This window comes from Homo sapiens, chromosome 17 (assembly GCF_000001405.40).
Source record: "Homo sapiens chromosome 17, GRCh38.p14 Primary Assembly".
Taxonomy (NCBI): domain Eukaryota; kingdom Metazoa; phylum Chordata; class Mammalia; order Primates; family Hominidae; genus Homo; species Homo sapiens.
This window is the reverse complement of record NC_000017.11, coordinates 41,000,911-41,017,399: the sequence shown is the minus strand read 5'-3', so window position 1 is coordinate 41,017,399 and position 16,489 is coordinate 41,000,911. Positions and strand designations below refer to the sequence as shown.

Genomic DNA, 16,489 nt, shown 5'->3' with positions numbered 1-16,489 from the left:
GATCAGAGAAATCTTGGTCCAAATGGGGCCAGAGTAAAGAACTACAATTATGTTATCTCTAAGACAGTACTGACTTGTTCAAAAGATGACACCTGTGACCCTGGAAAAAAAAGATCCTAGTGGGCTGATAACCTTACGGTAGGAAGAAGGGAAAGAACTCAGGATTTTCAGAGCAACTGAAGCCAGGAAGCATGAGGAAGTTTGAGAAGAGTTAGAGATGGCAGAGGTTGACAGCAACAGCCACAAAAAACTCTGAACAGAAGGAAATTCAACGTTCTCTATTCAGGAGAGGTTGAGGGAGACAAAACAATAGAATCCTAGAGATAGAATTCAGGAAACTCTGAGGTTAACATTTTTGCCCTTTACTCCAACGCTTGTTGGTTTAGTGATCAGAAGGGACCAAACAGAAAGAGAACTGCACAAAAGCCAGGGATAGTAGTTAGAGGGAACCAGAAGCTGAGACTAGAAGTCATACAAAACACTTGTTTTGTGTGTTAACGTGTACTAAGCAAAACAAACTTGTTATGTTGTTTCTCAGGGGTCCCCAAGCCCCGGGTTGCAGAGCGATACCTGTCCCTGGCCTGTTAGGAACTGGATCACATGGCAGGAGGTGAGCAGCCGAGGAGCAAGTGTTCCCACCTGAGCTTTGCCTCCTGTCAGCTCAGCAGATCGGCGGTGGCATTAGATTCTCACAGAAGCGCAAAGCCTATTGTGAACCGCACGTGCGAGGGATCAAGGTTGCACGTTCCTTGTGAGAATCTGTCTGAGGTGGGACAGTTTCATCCCAAAACCATCCCACCTTCATCCCACCCACAGTCCATGGAAAAATTGTCCTCCATGAAACCGGTCCCTGGTGTCAAAAAGAATGGGGACTGCTATTGTATTTGAGTATAGGTTGACACTTTAATCACTCTGAAGATGTTTTTAACTGTAGGAAGGGGCAGAGAGTGGGATGAGAAAGGAATCAGAAGACCTGAGTTTAAAATCCCAACTCTACTCACTCACTGACTGTGACCTTAGACAAGTCTTCTCAGAAGCTCAGTTTTTGTCTTCTATATCAAATGGGGGTTCTAATATGTCACAGTATTGCTGTGAATAACAAATAAGGTTATTAATAGTAATATGCCTGGCATATAGTAGGTGCTCCAGAAATTTTATTTTCTATTCCTCTTCTCCACTCAAGTGTATGTCTTCAGGAGCAGAAAGCCCTTTTGGCTATGGAGAGGATAGCATGAGCCAGATAGTCATGTGTGGAAAATAGCTTTAAAAATAGGAAGAGCATTGCTCAGGGTGATGTTGTATTCCATTTGAATAAAATGGATCACATAAAAATGGTCATCTCATTCTCAGTCCAAGCGCTTCATAGTAAGCACAGTTTTCATCTATATGTTGGAGCCTTCCAAATCTTCACCTCCAGCACTGAGCGTGGTGTACTCTCGAAAATCAAAACACACAATATTAGTGGGAACGTTTATCTCATGTTATCTTCCTCCTTTCTGCTCTTTTCATCCCAATGGACTCAGATGTCAAATTTCCACTCAGGAAAACTGACCGGCTATAATTACAAGCTGTTGCAATACATCTTATTCTACAGAGGAAATTTTTAACTGTATCAAAATATAAATTGTGTCACTTCATGTAAATCACAGATAGTAATAAGAAAGAATGAGGAAGAAGTCACGCTCAAGCAGCTAGAGCATTTCTTCAGTCCCCTCTGAGTAATAAATCCTGCTAGGCGTTTGTGATGACTGCCTCCTGAAAAAGGCAACGTGGTAGAGGGGACATGAGGAGTGCACACTGCTTACCAGTGATCTCACAGGGTTCCAGCAAAGCAAGGTCGAGGGGCACAGTTTGCTTTTTGGAGGCGGGGTCTTCACTGGTTACAAAAACTATAATGAAGACTATCAACAGGCAGGCTTTCCAGGCGTGGGAAACCTAAAAGCTAAACTCCCAAATTTAGCCCTAGATTCCCTATCGTCGGAGAGAAAGAATACCTGAAAATGACGGGGAAGAAAAAAGCTCCAGCCTCCCTCTGCTTATTTAGTAACAACAATCACACCTATTAGAATCATTTATTGAGGACTTACTATGTTCCAGGCACTGCATTGCACATTTTAATGCTTTCTTTAATTTATTCTTTAAACATCCTATCAATGTGATAGTAACATTAGCCATATTTACAAATGACGGAGTTAAAGAGGTAACTTCCTGCCTTAGAAAAATATATACCAGTGGTTCTCCATGGGTCTACTTAATTCAAGTTCAAACACCTCATCCTGGGGTCAAGACTCTACATCTTGCTTTTATCTCACACAATTGTTCTCTAGACACAGCGCACTATTCATGGCTTCCTAACAACCATTTGTTCTTTTCCACTTCTATGCATTTACTGCTGCTGTTCCCTATAGCTGGAATGCCTTCCTACTCCTCTGCCTTGCATTCAAGCCCTGTGTACCCTGCGAATCCCAGTAAATTCTCAGATATTTAAGAGTACACCATGTCCTGCTTGTCCTTGAATGCCTTAAATCTCCTAGCACAGTACAAAGCAAACAGCAGGTGCTCAACAGAGATAGGTTGAAATAAACCAAGTTATATATTTTCTCTTGAAAAATGCAATAATCAATAATAGAGAAATTATAAACTAATGTATAGTGACTAAGAATGCAGACTCTGGGGTCAGGTGGCCTTGGTTCAGATTTTAATTCCATCACTTACCAGCTATTGACTTTGAGCAACTTACTTAACCACTCTATGCCTCAGTTTCCTTCAGCTATGAAAGAGAGGATAGCTTTAATACCAACCTCATAGGGCTGTGGTAAGAATTAAATGACATGATACGTGTAGTGCACTTTTAAAAAAATCTGTCACACAGAAAATTCTGTATGAGAATTTGCCCTTACCATATAGCCAACTATATGTTTAGTAAAATAAGCTAAAAACTCAAAGTATATTTTAAAGCCATAGTGTCAGCTAATATTTAAATACATAACAATTAAGTCTCTTCAAAAAATTTCAAGTACTGCAGGAGCTCTTTGGAAAATCAGTGGTCATTCAATTCAATACAGTAGTCAGATTTATCTAATCAATGGAGAAAAAAGTCTCTGATTCAAAATAAATTTATAAAGTACAACTATTGTTAGAAAATAATTCCAAGGATGAAAATTCCAAAGCTTACTCTAGAATAATTGTAAGTTTAAATATCTCAATACTTCACATAGTAGGCAGCTGAAAATTTTATTTTACCAGTGCCTGGCATATAGTAGGTACTCAAATTTTATGGAGTGTCTATTTTCCTAAACATATTAATTTTAGTTAACACATATTTTTATATATTAGTTAATCATAAAGAATTATCTGTTACTATCTGTATACTCCACAGCCTACAATAATACATAAGAATTAAACTGAAAGCCTAGGGTTCCCAGGAAAAATAGGTAACACTTCCAGCCAGCTGGCTAAGCAATCACTTGCAAGAATGTTGCATGTGCCACGGGACTGAAAGCTATGAGATCAGCCCTGCATGTTGCCAGATGACAATTATAGAGACTATCAGATGTCCTCAAGTGGAAAACACCACTACTTCCATTTAAAAGAAATTCAATTTGGGGGTAATTTTCAGTGCAAGCTAATAAGGTGATGAGATATATCAGGCTTGACTATAACCACAAACTGGAAAAAAAAAAAATCTGATGCAACTGGAAAACACTCCCAAAGTTCACCATTTAACCCAAGCCCAGAATCCTTTGCATGAATTTTCAGCATATAGCAAAGTAAACAAAGAATAAATTGATGTCAATGGCAGCCTTGATACCAGCCATTCTTTCTTTCAATCTATACTATAAAGGAATGCACTGGCAGTTTCAAAGATCATGCAATTCAGGAAATGAAGACCAAATGTTTTTATTTACTAGACATTTTTATTAGGATGACAAACTTTAAAGGTTTCTATATCCTGCTTTTGTGAAGGGATGAAGAATTCCAACAGGCTTTAGGAAAATTGAGTGGCCCTAAGGTGTGAAGCTTCCTAACATCCCTGCTGACTCAGGAGGTGACACTGTGGAAGGTGTTTCCCAACAGCCACCCACAAATTCACTGAGTTGTTGGGAGATGGATATTCGTAAGGCACAAAGTGGCTCACAGCAAAACATGACTAACGCACATAAAAGTGACTATCTCGTTCTCAGTCCAGGCACATCATTGTAAGCAAAATTTTTCCTGTATGTTGGAGCCTCCCAAATCTGCACGTCCAGCTCTGCTCCCTCTCACGGCTTCAGGATGCTTTGTCTGTAGGTCCCAAACTAAACTCATCTCCAATCCCTTTCCTATCACCCCAGACAGCAGCTGTTTCTACGAGTAAATCTGACACCTAGACATGATCCTTGGCTCCACACATCCTCTCAATCAGCATGACCTATCATCTCCACTTTCAAAAGGGCTTCCAAACTCTACCACTTCTTAACAGTTCATCAAAAACTAGCATCAACTGTCTATCCTCACACTTTCTAGTCGTGCCAGTTTCCACTTTGCTCTGCTGTAGTTCATTTTCCTTTGAACATAAGGAAAATGTTATCACTCCCTTCTTTAAGTCATCCAGTGGATTTCAACACCCTTAGAGTAAAATCTAAACTGTGTAGAACAACTAAAAAATTCTACATGGCCTGCCACCTGCCACCTTCTGTAACCTTATTTCCTATTATACTCCTTCAAAATCCTACACGGCCTGCCACCTGCCACCTTCTGTAACCTTATTTCCTATTATACTCCTTCAAAATCCTACACGGCCTGCCACCTGCCACCTGCCACCTTCTGTAACCTTATTTCCTATTATACTCCTTCAAAATCCTACACGGCCTGCCACCTGCCACCTTCTGTAACCTCATTTCCTATTACGCTCCTTGTCTTCACTATAGTCCAGCCACTCTGACCACTCTAACTAAGGTAATACACTCCCTGGCACTTCTCTGGAGTTCTTATTTATTCATTTGTTAGTTTTCTTATTGTCTGTCTCTCCCACTTGACAACAAGGACCTTATCTGACCTGTTTATTGCTCTATGCTTAGCACCTAGCATAGTCTTAGACATTTTGTTGAGGGCATTAATAAATTTAAAAAATACATGAGCATAATCTACAATTATATAAAATTTAATTCCACAAAAATATCGATTTTGTGCAAACTATTGCTATTAGGTGAGCCATCGTTCACTAGTAGTGTGACTTTAGAATCATTACTTAATATCCTTATTCTTGGTTTCATCATCTGGGAAATGGGTACAGTAATAGTGTACCCAATAGTGATCTTAAAGGGTTGTAAGATGTAAGGAAGAAGATGCACAATAATACTTAGCACCATGCCTGACACATGGTATACATCCAATCCATGAAAAGTGTTAGCAGAGGATTAGTGTTCCCATTACCTTAAAAACAAAAATATTAATTTTATTGTGGAAACTGCTGTACCACCCAGATGGTGGTCCCTAAAAACTGAATGATGTGATAAGAAATCTCTGGTAACTCCCACTTCTCTATTCCCACAAAACTATGATATCTTCTAAGACACTCCTCACTCCCCTAGAACACCCAAATAGTTTCCTAATTATTGTCCTTGTCTTCAAGTTTCCTCCTTTCTACAGCATAGTCTTTTGATTAAGAAAATAGCTCTAAACTCAACTCCCCTTGTGGTCCCAAGACCTTCAATGACCTGGCCTCATCCTTCCTACCAATCTTACACTCAACTAATCTTGAGGGTCTTCTGCACTGTAGTCAGACAATACCCCTAAAGCAAGAGGGAATCTGGCACAGTGATTAAGACCATGGAGTCTGAAGCCATACTGCTTGGCTTCAAATGCCAGCTACTCACCCACTAGCTACTTAGCCTCTCTATGCTGCAGGTTCCTCGTCTGTCAAAGGGCAAGGATAATATCATTGCATACATCATCATAAGGTTGTTGTAAGAACTGTATGAAATAATGCATGCAAAGCACTCAGCACATTACCTAATACTTAGTAAGTGGCAATGATAACCATGATGAGCCTTCCCTCAAAAACTACAGTATCCTTCCAAAATCTAGTCATGTCACATGCCTGTTCAGCAACCTTTACATAATGCCTATTGCCTACAAGATAAAGTTCAAAATCCTAAGTGTAGGATACTAAGCACAGTACAAATTCTTCATACTGTGGCACTAACCCACCTTTCCGTCTTCATTCCAACAGATTCAGAACCTATGCTTCAACCAGGCAACACTTTTTGTCATACCATGGGGGCCCTGTGGCATTTTGTTTCAATGGCTGAAATCTCCTTCCTATTTATTTCTATCTGCTCAGCTCCTTTTCACCCTTCAAGATCCAAACAGATGTTCTCTTTTTGTGAAGGGCTTCCTAAGTTTTCTAGGAGAAGTCTGTGGCTTCTACCTCTAAATTCTCATATCATAACCTGGAAAATCTAAATGTACAATCCTTTGTTATTGTTTGCTGGTTTACTTCTCTGTGTCTGTCTTCTTCTCTATGACCCCTGTAAGGGCAGGAGCCTATTGCGACTTTTTGCATGATGCCCAACATACAACAGGTGTTCAATCAATGAGCATTTTATATGTAAATTCTAATTTTGATATGTAAATATCTAAGAGAGATGTAAATTCTAGCATAGGAATCCAAAACTGCAAAATCATTCCAATAAGAAAATGGCTAAAAAGAAAGCAGTTTCATGCTAAGCATTTTTTTAATCCAACATCTTGTTGATTTGCATCTCATTTGGCTTCTGATTCCTCTGCATTGTGCAATTTTCTACTTTAGAACTTGAGCCATCTTATCTGAAAAAATGGGTCAAGAAAATATGTACATGTTTTTAAGCCTTTCTAAGTAAGCCATTTCTAAAGGTTTTACCAGTTTAGTATTTTTCATATTCTAAAGTAATTCTAAATCATCATACTAAATTTTCTACCTTTATCTACTTTTAAAACTTTATTTTTAGAGTTTTAGTGGTTTAGATGAAACTCGGAAATGTCTCTATTCTGGACCACAGAGCCTGGAAGTAAGACAGGGGTGTTCAATGTTTTGGCTTCCCTGGGCCACATTGAAAGAAGAATTGTCTTGGGCCACACATAAAATACACTAACACTAATGACAGCTGATGAGCAAAAAAAGAAAAAAAATCACAAAAAAATCTCATAATGTTTTAAGAAAGTTTATGAATTTGTGTTGTGCTGCATTCAATGCCTTTCTGGGCCACAGGTTGAACAAGCTTGCTGTAAGATGTTGCTAAATCTCCCCAAGTATGTTTCATAAAGCACTGACCTATAGAGCTAATCTCTGAAAACAAACAAAAAGCAGTCCATGGTCAAGTAAGTTTGGAGAAAAATATATGCTATATCTCTGTATTGAAAAGTCATAGAGCATTTTAGCACATTAAAGGCTCCGAGAGGCCCAACAATGAAGAATTCAGCATTTCCCAAACTTACTTACCAGAAAACACTTTCAAGTCCCTTGGAACCAGTGTTCATGGAACTCAGTCTGGTAAATACTGCATCATTTAGCTTCTGAATGGCCCAATACAACCAGCCTTTTGGTTATAAATAATCTCCATTTATAACACAGTTGGATGGAGCTTAAAGGACACCCATCTTTGTCACCCATGAAGGTCTTCATTCCCACCTGCATGTTCTTACCAAGTTATTGTTCAGAGCATATTTGAAAGGAATGCAGAACAAACGATTTGTTATAGCTCTGTTTGAAAGTGCCTCTTTACACAAAACCAAAATCTATTTCTCTATAGATTCTATCCATTCATCTTCATTCAGTTTATTGGAGCCACAAATAATAAATCTAAAATGTTATATCACTTTTTCAGCCTGAGGGCCTAAAGGATCACATAGAACCTGTAGTCACTGGTAGAACAGCAAACAAAAAGCTTACTTGTCCTCTTCATCTGAAAAGTAAACAAAAGAAGTGGGAAACGTTTGCAGATGCCTGGCATACCGAGCCATTATTAGTGAGGGTATAATGATTAGAAGATAATGGCCCGGTACCTTTGAAGACTGGAATGAAGATTTCTGTGTAGTGACACACTGGCAATGTGAATAGTCCTAATTTGACAACAAAACAACCTAAATCTCTTTTATGAGGTGAGCAGTGTATCTTAGGTAATAAACACTTAAGTAATTAGGCATTTTTTATGGAAATAACTATAAACTGAAACATGGGGGAAAAACCCTCAGTAATAGGCTGACGCCCAGGGAGATGGGTATATAAGAGCCAGAGCAGAAGAGAGGAGCATCGAGACACCAACAGACTTCTCTCAACTCAACAAAAACCCACCTCCCATTGCCATGTATTGCTGTGCTCTCCGCTCCTGCAGCGTCCCCACCGGCCCTGCCACCACCTTCTGCTCATTTGATAAAAGCTGCCGCTGTGGAGTCTGCCTACCCAGCACCTGCCCACATGAGATCAGCCTCCTTCAGCCCATCTGCTGTGACACCTGCCCCCCACCCTGCTGCAAGCCTGATACCTATGTGCCAACTTGCTGGCTGCTCAACAACTGTCACCCGACTCCCGGACTGAGTGGGATCAACCTGACCACCTATGTTCAGCCTGGCTGTGAGAGTCCCTGTGAGCCCCGCTGTTAACCAGCCGAGTCTGCACAGGTTCCGTGAGGTGGCTGCCCAATGTCCTCTGCACCATCTGGGCTTCAGCACTCACTACTGCCTACATCAAGGCTAAGGCCATCCCAATCCCCGGGGCCAAGTCTTGATGAATCTTCTTAATTATTTGCACATTTGGGTACCATTGGAGACCTCCCTTCTGTCTTTTAGGCTATTTCATCACTCTTTGAGAAATAACCATTTTGACCATTTGTTAATAAACTTTATTCTGGCTTAGCAAATATGACCTTGTGATTATTTATTTTCATGTCTCCCATTAGGGAAAGTGGAATGCCTACCTAAACCTGAACAGTAGGTTATCACACTATCCAAGATTTACCCCAACAGAATAAGAGCTCTCATAGTGGAATTTATCGAAAAAATAGATACTGGTTATTTGTGATAAGTTAAAAAGTAAAAAATGTGGTAGTTCATTTTATAGAAGCTTTTTATTTAACAGATATTTATTTAATAGATATTATTGGAAGACATCCACTGTGCAAGCACTATGCTAGAGTCTAGAGATTAACAGAATGTTTTAAAAATACTTGATTTTAGTTTCCATTGATTCTGACATTGATTTTTCTTTCTTCCTTAATTGACTAAATGAATTGATCACTGTGCTGGTGTGTATAAATAATTTGATTATCCTAGTCCTCACAGTCATCTGAAATTCTGAGCTCAAAATGCAAAGCAATTTTGAGAAGTGTATATATCCATTTCTTCATATATGCTGTCTTCCAAAACAATCCATTTTTAATTAATGTTAGCATTTATCGAGTATTCATTGATTCCTCAAATGGGGCTTACATTGGTTTACATTAGTCATGACTATGATTAGAAGTTTGCTAGTCTAAGTGACATATAATATCATGACATTGAAATATGCTTAAAATATCAGACTACAGTGTAGTATTTTCTATACACCAGAAATAGTCACACAATTCTGAGAGCAAAAACACACAGTTTCTATTAGAACAAAACTACTACGATAACCACTAATTCATGTCCTTATTTATCTTAGAAAAATCTAGGTGCAATTAGGTCTTTGCAAAAAATAAAGGTATTGTGATTATATATATATATATATATATACACACACACACACTTTTGGACTTGCCTTTGGCCTTTGGGCCAATTGCTTCCCTCTCAGTCTCAATTTCCCTGTTATTAAAGTGATTTCCTACCTATAGCGTGGTTTCCTACCTATAGCTTGGTTTCCTACAGGCTCAGTTAGCTTGTTATTACTCTCTGCCCTGCTTTTGTCTCAGGATTATTGTGAGGACCAGATGCCCTGAAGTGTAGAAACCACCGTGTCCACAGCATCAACCTGTTACACATGAGAGACTCTCACCATTACTGCCATATGGAAGTTCCCAACTTTCTCACCAAAAGACATCTTTTAAAAATATTTATTTATTTATTTATTTATTTATTTCCGTAGCTTTTGGGTTACAGGTGGTTTTTGGTTACATGGATGAATTATATAGTGGTGGTGAATTCTGAGATTTTAGTGCACCCGTACCCAAGGAGTATACATGGTAGCTAATGTGTAGTGTTTTATCCCTGGCCTCCCTCCCACCCTCCACTTTTTGAGTCTCTAAAGTCCATTATATCACTCCATATGCATCTGCATACTTAGTTTAGCTCCCACTTATAAGTGAAAACATGGTTTTTTGTTTTCCATTCCTGTAATTTCCCACTCCATTTCACTCAGAATAATGGCCTCCAGCTCCATCCAAGTTGCCACAAAAGACATTGTTTCATTCCCTTTAACAGCTGAGTAGTATTCCATGGTGTATACATACCACAGTTTCTCTATCCACTCATTGGATGATGGATACGTAGGTTGGGCATCTTTTTATTTCTTGAAATATGTATTTTTCCCAAATGGCTTTCTTAAAAATGTTTATTAATTCCTTCATTTGTGTTCATAAATACATTTATAAATATCAATTAAATGTTTAGGATTACTATAGAATAACCTTTGTTACCATGCCAAGTTACCTTTTTTCTAGTCAAAAACAAAGAATTTTCATGTTTTCATACATGCTAGTAAGGGATAAAAATTAGAGTTTGTTTTTAATACCTAAAATAACTCGAAGTTCCTATTACTACTACCATGGTCTTTAGCATTCACGGGCCCTGGCCTAGTTATAAATCCCCAACTGGAAACCAGAAGATGTGTTGTTTTAGTCCTGGCTCTGCCTTGAGCTGCCTCTGTGGCCCTAAGCAAGTCAATTAAGTTCTTGGGGTCTCAGGTGTTAAAGCAGTAAAATGGGTTGGTTGATCACACCATCTCTAAGGTTGCTTTTCGTTTTAACATTCTATGATTCTAGATCATCCAGAAGCATTCTAAGTAACAAGTACCCCATGCAACTAACCAAGCCCATTCTACCTCATTACTTTTACTGCTTTCATTAGGAATAGCTCACACTGAGTGAGTATCTACTGGACATACTAATGAGGTAGAAGGTGGGACTCTACTCCAGAAGCGGGGCTCAGATACTGGACCAAATTGAGGGCTAGCTAAAACAGGATGGGGACAGAAACAGCTTTCCAATCAGACATGCCCACCAGCATGCTGTGTCAATTTACCATTGCCATGGCAACACCTGAGTTACCACCCCTTTCCATGGCAATGACCCAATGACCTAAAACTTACTACTCCTTCTTAGAAATTTCTGCACAAACCACTCTTTAATCTACATCTAATTAAAAGTAGGTAGAAATATGCAAAACTGCCCTGAGCTGCTACTCTCTGCCTACAGAGGTAGCCCTGTTCTGCAGGAGCAATCACAGAGCTGTAACACTGCTGCTTCAATAAAGCTGTTTTCTACCTCTGGCTTGCCCTTGAATTCTTCCCTAGGCAAAGCCAAGAACCCTTGCAGGCTAAGCCCCACTTTGGGGCTCCCCTGCCCTGCATCACTAACAGGTGAAGAAAGGCCACTAACAGGTGCAGAAACTCAGGCTGAGAAAGACTAAATTACTTGCAAAAGTTACATAAATCATAAGTGAGAGAGAAGGACTTAAACCCCAAACTAAGTCCGAAGTCCCTTCTCTTTCCACTACACCAAAGCACTCACCTTCCCCACAGACAGCAATATGTCAAAGAGAAATGTGACTATAGGTGGCTCTCTTTATTCAGGAGAAAGTATATGACACTTGACAATATATTCTCTACTATCCCTGTCAATTGTATCTTTTGTTGTTTTCTCTGTTTTCTCTGTGGTGATTATAGTCTAAAATAAAATGAGTGTATACAATGAGTATTAAAAAAGGTATCCGTGTTTCTAAGTTAAGAACAAACCTTTTTTAAAAAGTCAGACTTTACTGATTAGCAGTGTCAGCAGAGAAGAAATATTGGCTGCATCATTAACTTTGAATTGAAATGCAGAATGTTTGGCAACTCAAACACATTTTCAGTTCAACTTCAGCATCAATAATCAAGGTAAAACAACTGCCCTTAACATTAATAATTGTTTATCCTTGATAATATAATAAAAAACAAGATATTTCATTTTTCCTTCAAATTGTTATTGAGGCCAGGCACAGCGACTCGTGCCTGTAATCCCAGCACTTTGGGAGGCTGAGGTGGGTCTACTGTGAGTCCATTAAACTTCTTTCCTTTATAAATTACCCAATCTCGGGTATGTCCCTATAGCAGCATGAGAACAGACTAATACAGTATGGATGTGTCTACATGTGAGTAAGTGGAAAACTACACTGACACCATTTTGAAACTACAACAGAAAGCAAGTTTGAATGCAGCAACACAACTAAATAAAACTGAAGGAGAGCTCATCCCCTGTCTGATACATAAGAAGTTAGTGAGTTATTTTTACAGAATTAGGTAAACAGCAACAAGGATGTTCCGTCCAACATTCTGATGGACAGAAGCCGTGTTCCCTGAGATAGGTGGATATAAAAGACCCATAGAGGACAACCTTGTAGAAGAAAGCCTTCCTTTGCCACAAAACATTGTCCTGGTCCACTGTCACTATGTCTTGCTGTGATTCCTATCTCCAAGGATGCTGCAGCGTCCCCACTGGCCTGGCCACCACTATCTGCCCCTCTGACATAAGCTGTCAATGTGAAGTCTGCCTACCCAGCACCTGTCCTCATGAGATCAGCCTCCTTCAGCCCACCTGCTGTGAACCTGGCCCCTGCCTGGCTGCATGCCTGACTCCTATGTGCCATCCTGTTGACTGCTCAACAAATGCCACCCAGCTCCAACCCTGAGCGGGCTCTCTGTCACCACCTGCATCCAGAGTGTGAACCACCTTGCTGCTAGCCAAAGAGCTTGCCCACATTACCCTGAGGACCTTCAGTAGTCATTAAGCGCTGCTCAGCAAATGGCCTTTAATGAGGCCATTTGGAAGAAAATATAGCACTGTGCCTTCAGTTTTACAGAAGTTTTCTTTTCCTGTTTTGAACAATGATTTCAAATGAGAAATGGGAAAAAAAATGCTACCATGGATCCCCTTACTTCAAAACTAAATAAACACCACTACTCCCCAAACCACATACTGCCTCAACATTTAATGCTATAATTACCCAACGACTCTTGACACATGCATCATGAACTTAAAAATACATCCAGCAGAATTACACTTTCTGATGACATCAACATAAATTTCATAGCCAAAAAGAGGCCTCACAGGCATACGTAGATACCTGAAGAAAACTGTGAGGATAGTGAAATGCATTAGGCTCTAAGCTTAGAATCGTTTTAAATGCCAAGGTCAGCATCTACCTTTGATTTTTATTTTTTCCCTGCCTCTAAATAAACTCACGTGTCCTTAAAGAGGCAGTGAAGCTAGCAATTTGAGATCAACATGCTCACAGAAAGGACCTCAAAGATTGAGCCAAGCCCATTTTTTTCGCTGTCTCATTTAGGTAAATCTTTGAATTTAAAAATGTTGGCCAGGCATGGTGGCTCACGCCTCTCTAATCCCAGCACTTTGGGAGGCTGAGGCGGGCGGATCACCTGAGGTCCGGAGTTCAAGACCAGCCTGACCAACATGGTGAAAGCCCGTCTCTACTAAAAATACAAAATTAGCCGGGCATGGTAGAGCATGAATGTAATCCCATCTATTCCTCAGGCTGAGGCAGGAGAATGGCTTGAACCCGGGAGGCAGAGGTTACTGTGAGCCAAGATCGTGCCATTGCACTCCAGCCTGGGCAACAAGAGCAAAACTCCATCTCAAAAAAAAAAAAAAGTTTTGACAACTGTAAAGCAATTCACACAAAAAATGAATCACTCTCTTTATATAAAGTGTTACTGTTATAAAAGGCCATTATAAAAATAAATAAATACCTTTTTAATTCTAATCTGAAATGTAATCCAATTCAACAAATATTTATCAAATGCCTACCCTGTTTCAGGCATTGTCCTAGGTGCTTGAAAAAGACAAATAAAACTAACATACGATTACCACTTCCAAGAACCTTGCATTGGAGTGAGGAAAACAAATTTAAGTGACAAACTACAAAATATAGCAGAAAGAAATGAGGTTGAAAGGGAAGAATAGGCAGCCCATTTTGTGAGAGCAGAGAAAAGGATGCAAACATCTAGAAGAATCACCTAGAGTTTCTTTATGAAGGGGATGTTTGGCTGAATCTTGAGGGATCAACAGGATTTGGAAACTAGAGAATTGGGAAAGGTCACTTTAAGCTAAAGAAACAGTATGAACGAGGTCACAGAGGGTAAAGTACCTAGGAGACTCCCGCCTTCACTTTATGTAATGTGCTGTATGATTAACATATGCGTGACTCACATAGTTATCATTTTTGTGATGAGAACACTTAATCCATTCTCTCAGCGTTTTTCAAAAATGCAATATATGGTTATTCACTATAGTCACCATGTTGTACAGTAGATCTCCTGAATCTATATAATATTTCAAAATCGATTTTAAAAGAGAAGTCAGAGAGAACACAGAGAATGGGAGAGGGTCTTCTTCATATATTCTACTTGCCAAGCCACTGGCTTCTAGATGAGAGAGACTGGTAAGTCAAGAGTAAGTAAACATTAAACATTTCCTTGACGATTTCAATACTAGTTCATTAACTTTGAATTTTATAATATACTGGGAAAGCCACTTGAATTTGCTTATCTGTTCTTCAGTGGTAAAGTGCAGGTATTGAGGCAGGAGACTAGCAAAGGGAATTAAAACTTGGATAAAGGGTGGAGTGAATAAAAGCAGAGACCAGAAGCAAGGTGAAGGGGCAGGTAAGCAAGAAGCAAGATAAGAAGCAGAAGTTAGACCAGGCGCGGTGGCTCATGCTGTAATCCTGGCATTTTGGGAGGCCGAAGCAGGTGGATCACTTGAGATCAGGAGTTCAAGACCAGCCTGGCCAACATGGAGAAACACCCCTCTCTACAAAAAATACAAAACTTAGCTGGGTGTGGTGGCGGGCACCTGTAATCCCAGCTGCTACTTGGGAGTCTGAGGTAGGAGAATCACTTGATCCCAGAAAGTAGAGGCTGCAGTGAGCAGAGAATGCCACTGCACTCCAGCCAAAACAAAAAGTAAGATAGAGAAGAAAGCAAGGCCCCCATGGCCGGCAAGATAAGGACCAAACCAGTAAGGGGCAACTCTTCATGGATAAGCATGTGCATTAAAGAGAAAACGTATCCTTAACATGACCTTGTATGAAAATCAGCTCATTCAGGCTTATGCATATGGACTGCATATCATGTATGTACTTAAAATTATGGGCTGGAGGTGGTGCGCAAGCACACAGGGGCCAAAGTAACTAAGCAACACACCTGTCAATCAAAGAGGCAAACACTGGCTAGAGATTAGGCAGCCTTGGGAAGGGACACACACACACACATACACACACACACACACACACAAAGACGCAAACTGCACCAAGCTGGGGGCTGATCTCATCTCACAGAGGCTGGTTTGCTCTCCCCCTCTTAGAGTGTAATACTGTGCTTAATACACTTTTGTTTCTTTGTTTTGCTGTGGGTGTCTCGTCCAATTCTTTGGGACACCAAAAGCCTGGAACTGCATGGCACCATCTGGTAACAGTATGATGTTCGACACCCTTGGCATTTGTTGTAAATTCCTGCTAATAAAAATGATTTGAAGCTGTTTTCTGTTTTTTTGTTTTTAACTTTTAAGTTCAGGGGTACCTGTGCAGGTTTGTTACATAGGTAAGCTGGTGTCATGGGGGTTTGTTGTACAGATTATCTCATCACCCACGTATTAAGCCTAGTACCTACCAGTTATTTTTCCTGATCCTGTCCCTCCTCCCACCTTCCACCCTCTGATAGGTTCTAGCATCTGTTATTCCCCTCTATGTGTCCATGCGTTCTCATCATTTAGCTACCACTTATAAGTGAGAACATGCAGTATTCGGTTTTCTGTTTCTGCATTAGTTACTAAAGATAATAGCCTCCAGCTCCATCCATGTTTCTTCAAAGGATAGGAGCTCCTTATTTTTTATGGCTGCATAGTATTCTATGGCATATATGTACCACATATTTTTGTTGTTAAAGAAAAAGATAAACTGGTTGTTTTAACGTATAACGTATAAGGCTTACCTACCAATGACATTTGATATTTTCCACTGATTTTAGCCAGCTTTCTTCTCTTTTAAGTAGATCGTACTGGTTTTTGGTAATGTCCCCTCAGAAACAACCTACCCGGAATCTTTGCTTTCTGTTAAGTCAACAAATTGCCACATAACGAGTATGTAATTTAAATTATACAATATTATCTGAAAGGATTTGTGCTGATCATGGACAGGTGTAGGAAGATGTTGGAATCTAGAATATTACACATTTGATATTATCTAGTTCAATCTCTGGCTGACTTAAGTAAATAATGTTGTT

General features: G+C 39.7%; 1 protein-coding gene and 1 pseudogene across 1 annotated transcript; both read left to right on the top strand.

Moving 5' to 3' along the window:
- The first annotated feature begins 8,271 nt into the window (after positions 1-8,271).
- KRTAP3-1 (keratin associated protein 3-1) lies at positions 8,272-8,879 on the top strand. Its single transcript, NM_031958.2, has one exon. The coding sequence runs from the start codon at positions 8,326-8,328 to the stop codon at positions 8,620-8,622; it is 297 nt and encodes a 98-aa protein (NP_114164.1). The 5' UTR covers positions 8,272-8,325; the 3' UTR covers positions 8,623-8,879.
- On the top strand, positions 12,641-12,880 carry KRTAP3-4P (keratin associated protein 3-4, pseudogene; annotated as a pseudogene).